General features: G+C 44.9%; 2 annotated features.

Moving 5' to 3' along the window:
• Positions 1,628-2,128: an enhancer, noted in NCBI's record as "H3K4me1 hESC enhancer chr6:166489084-166489584 (GRCh37/hg19 assembly coordinates)". NCBI's record gives its function as "activates a minimal SCP1, AML or CMV promoter by ChIP-STARR-seq in naive H9 embryonic stem cells {active_cell/tissue: H9 hESC(naive)}" and the evidence as "EXISTENCE:reporter gene assay evidence [ECO:0000049][PMID:30033119]".
• Positions 2,129-2,629: an enhancer, noted in NCBI's record as "H3K4me1 hESC enhancer chr6:166489585-166490085 (GRCh37/hg19 assembly coordinates)". NCBI's record gives its function as "activates a minimal SCP1, AML or CMV promoter by ChIP-STARR-seq in naive H9 embryonic stem cells {active_cell/tissue: H9 hESC(naive)}" and the evidence as "EXISTENCE:reporter gene assay evidence [ECO:0000049][PMID:30033119]".

Raw genomic sequence — 4,762 nt, forward strand, 5'->3', positions numbered from 1 at the left:
CAATACTCGCCTCTTTCCTGCTCTGTTTTCCACCTTCCATGCAGGCTATGATGCCTTTGGCTAACCAGGGACAGGTGGAGGAGCCGTTCTTCCAGGTGCTCAGCTGACACCCGGGAGACCATCGGGCTTCCGAGGCAGGAAATGGCCTCTCCTGAGGCAGAAGCGGTGGCTGGGGCGATTTCCACTCACGAGTCCCACGGCGTCTGAGGTGCCAGGAGGCCCTGGTGTTCTCCAGCAGAAACACTGGGTCGTGGGTGAGTTATCACAGAAAGCATAGTGAGACGTATGGATATAGTTTTTTAATTTCATTTTATTTCCGAAGAGAGGAAAACAAAGCTATCAATTAAGGGGTTCATAAACAAGTCTCCAGAAAGGAATCTGACCAAGAGTTTCCCAAATTGTTACTTTAGGTTTTCATCTTCTTCTGTATCTTTTTCTAGAAATTGAGAAATATCTGTTAAGCCTGGTGACATTTTTAAACCCCAGAACAAGTGCAGCTTCCTTTCATTCAGGAGCTAACTTGTTTATCAAACTGACATGTAACATGAGCAAAAGCCACTATCTGGGGCTAAGAGGCGTCATTCCCCTTGGGTCCTGAAACTGCTCTGGACATGGGCTAAGTGATCCAGAATTTATGGGCTTGAGTGCTGGGGTTCACTGTGGTAAAGATGCCTGAGGACTGGTAGAGGACTTCAGTCTCTTCTTGCACCTTTCTTTGTTAAGCAAGAACCATTGGTATCAGTGCCAAAGCTGAACAAATGTCCAATCAATTTCCTGAATTAAAAATGAACTCAGAGAGCATGGCTGCCTCTGGAAGGAAGGGGTCTGGGAGGGCACAGCTCAGGCTAACCTCATGTCCCCAAATGCTTGCCTGGTTCTCTTTCTACCAAGACGTAAAAATAAAACTCTTCTGTAATTTTTCCACATTTTTTCGCTATAAAATAGTGGCTATCTACATGCCTACTTTATGTAGTTTTCTAGAAGTGCTTCATATCTACAAATTTTTTAGGATTTTGACACAAACTAAAAATCTCAACAATACCATTATTTTAAAAATAAGCCATTTCTTTGTTTTTTCTTCTTTACCTAGAAAGCGATCTCAGATATGCATTCTTAAGCAATTTCTAAATGCATCTATATGGTACTATGAAGTACTGTCAAACTGAGGATATTTATTAAAATCATAAATACATAAGTTTGTGAAAGCTAAAAATTTCAGTCACCAAGCACTTTTTCTCACAAATTTTTCTAAGCAAAACATCTGTAGCTGAAATAACCAGAATCACATGTATTTCCAAATTTTGTAAACATCTCCAATTTCCTGGATTTCTTCTCCTCTAATATTTGAGAACCAACTCTTTATGAGAACACAAGAAAATGCTGAATGTGGCAGGCATACAAATGGTCTCAGCTTACAGAATTTAACCTGGGTATTATATATTTCAGTACCATATGGAAATAAGTAGCTTAACAAATATTACACATTCTACAATTTCAGCATTTGCACATGTGAAGGGATCGGAATTAACTATTGAAGCTCTTGGGAAACTCTTGGCTGTTGAGTAATTTATTGCACGGAAAGCATCCACACAGCCAAGAACAATTTACTGAACCAGAAACCCAGAGGCTGTTTATAAAACTTTCTTATAAATCCCAATGATAATAGACACATTTTAAAGGCTTTTTTGGTCATTTGGCTCACAGTTTCAGTGGTGTGCAAAGCAAATAACATACCACCACAGTTGCATTTTTGGTTAGGCAGAAGACCCGACTTTTTCTGTGTCAACATAGATATGGACGTAGTATGGAATTTCCCTGGGATAGTCTAGGTGGAGCTGCTACAAGATGTGGCAGAGTGATAGACAAGAAGCCAACAGCTGCCATTAGTAGTGGAAAAAGAACACTCACACTTCTTAGTTATGCGAGAAATAGATCATGTATAAACTACATTCACCAAAAACTATGATCACTCAGTCGGTCATCCTACTGTTTTGGGATGCTTGGGGTGTTGCTTTTTTCACCGGAAACCTCTGTGGCTGGTGGCACCTTTGCCTGAGTTTTGCTGAGGCCCACTGGGCTCATCCCACCCACTCGGCCTGGCAGGCTGTGCTCAGCTCACACTACCAGCCTGGGTCCCACACCTGCCAAGGGCAAGCCAGGCATGGAGCAGTGAGGGGTGTGTGAGCAAGAAAGCATGGGGTCTGTCCACGGCGCACAGTCAGGCACTCTGTCTGCTGCAGCAGAGTGGGCAGCTCCAGGTGCTGGCATAGGTGCCAGCTCTTTGCAAGGCTGCAGCTGGACTAGGTGCACCACAAGCAGCTTCCACAGGTGCCACTAGGGAATGCAGTGGTGCCCAGAAGCCTGGAGACTCCAGGAACAACCGGGCCCCAAAGAGGGAGTCACAGCCCTGGTTTAAGGAGCTCCCAAGTCTGGGGTCCCTGAAGGGCCACAGCTCTTCTCTCTTTTTCTTCACCCACAACATGGCGAGCAAGGGGTGTGTTTCAGCCCTGTTTGTGTTATAGCTCTTTCAGCCCTGCCATTCAGCTGGTCCCAAGTTCTTGCCCTGCATCCAGGAAGAACTACGTATGCAGACAAGTGGAAGGTGAGCAAGGTGAAGAAGAGCTTTATTGAGTGACAGAATAGCTCAGAGGAAACCCTGGAGAGGGTAGCTCCTCTCTGCAGCTGGTCATTCCCATGTCTGCTCAGTTGTGGCCTGAGCCCAGAGCTTTTATGGACCTCAGAGGGGTGGAAGTGCTTGCTGATTGGTCCATGGATAGCCATGGGCAGTGCGGAAAAAGCAGTGCAAGTTCACACTCCAGTCTGCAGGACCAGCAGCCCAGCCCCCAGTCTTCAGTCTCTCCCTGGCCTGAAGGTGGCGCTTCACCAGGGACCTGCCCCTTTCTACCCAAGAACTTGTCTGCCTCTTGCTGCCTTTCATGGCACCCAGGCTGTAGGTGCCAAGGGGCGCCTCTAGGCCAGTGCCAAGCTGCCCTCCGCATACCCTCAGCTTCTCTCCTATGCTCATTGGCACCCTAAATGCCAAGGGGGCTGAGGAGGCATGGAGCTGGCTCTGTGGAGCCAGAGGCCGGAGTCTGCAGCCAGGATTTGGGTGGCTGCCGCTGCACCCAGGGAGCTCCTGCCCCACCAACTTGGAGGGGGTGGGGCTCCCACTTGTCTGTGGCTCCTGCCAGCTCTACAGAGTGTGCAGCCCTGGCCATGCCTCTCTGCTGCCGCCAGTGTGATGGCAGCAGCTGCTCGAGACCAGCTACCGCTGCTCGAGACAGGCCGCCACTGCCATCACTACAATATTTGTTATGCAATAATTATGAGTCAAGCATTTAGGCTGAGAGGTGAGGAATGAAAACAGGGAGCACAGGAGAAGAAGTACCTGTCTCTTTCTTAGAGTTACAAAAACTTCACAAAGGTTATCCACCATCTTTGAACTGTTATTTGAAAAGCAATTAACCATTTCTAGGTAGCCAAGCAAGAGGAGAACATCTCTGGCACAAAAGTGACTTTTAAAGCATACCCTAGGACAGTTGAAGACATTAAGCAGTTAATAGGCAATGAACATGTATAATAAAGCATTTACCATGTCTAAGAAATTATACAAGAAGTTATAAGAACAAAAGGACAAAGAAAAGATACACATATCATTGGAAATGACTAATAGGAATGTAAGGACATCAGACAATAGGAGAGAAAACGTAAGATAAAAGTTAGAGTGCAGCCGGTACTCAAGATATATATCATATATTTCTGAACACTTGGAAACTGGGCACTGTACTTGCAACCAGCCGAAGAAAAGAGGAAAAACAATCTATTACCCAATTGGCAATGCAAAAAAAAAAAAAGTTTTTTTTTTAAAAAACACTAGTTGTTCCAGAGAAGCACAGATTAATTTAACTAAGCCCTGACATATATTTCTCCAGAACATAGAGATGATTCCCTGTCGCATAGTAAACAAGGTACATAACAACATTAGCACTGTAAGAAAAGCTTGTATGGAAAATGGTGCCCTTTACTGTCAATTTCAGGTACAATAACCAAAACACATTTTAGTAAATTAAATTCTATTTGGGGTCAAATTAATTCAACCCAAGGCATTTCTCTTTCCCAGGAAGGAGTTCAGAGGCAGTATCCAAAGACAGATTCAAAGTTTTCCTCAGAAAGTAATTCTGGATTGATTACAACACAGAGAGCGGCCAAGGTGATTTTAGCTTAGTAAACTAGACAAACTCACAAAGCCCATTTTGGGTTCCAAGACCAGCTAAAATGGAGATTTGGTACAAGGTTGCTTGCACTGGGCCTTCCTACCAGACCAACAAATGAGCAGTGCAGAGAATTCATGACCAGCCAAGAAAACAACAGTGTGGATGAGTGCATTCCTAAACCCTCTTTAGTTGCTCACTAAGAAGCAACTGAAGTCTGACACCATGTAAAGAGGAGTGTCTAGGCTGCTGGAGAGACCACGTGGAGAAAAAATATTTGGCCAGCTGTCAGCAATGACAGCCATTCCAACAGAAGCACCAAATATGTGAGTGAAGTCATCTTGCAGCCACATGAGTAACACCAAGTGAAGTGAACAGAACTGTCCAGCTGAGCCCCATCCATACCACAGAACAGTAGGTGACCAATGGTTATTGCTTTCAGCACTGAGTTACGGGCTAGTTTGCCAAATAGCATTACGTTACTACAATAGCTGCACACTTGGGAAACATTTAAAACCCATGCATTCAAACACCTTCTAAGACTCCCCCTC

The sequence above is a fragment of the Homo sapiens genome, chromosome 6 (genome assembly GCF_000001405.40).
Source record: "Homo sapiens chromosome 6, GRCh38.p14 Primary Assembly".
Taxonomy (NCBI): Eukaryota; Metazoa; Chordata; class Mammalia; order Primates; family Hominidae; genus Homo; species Homo sapiens.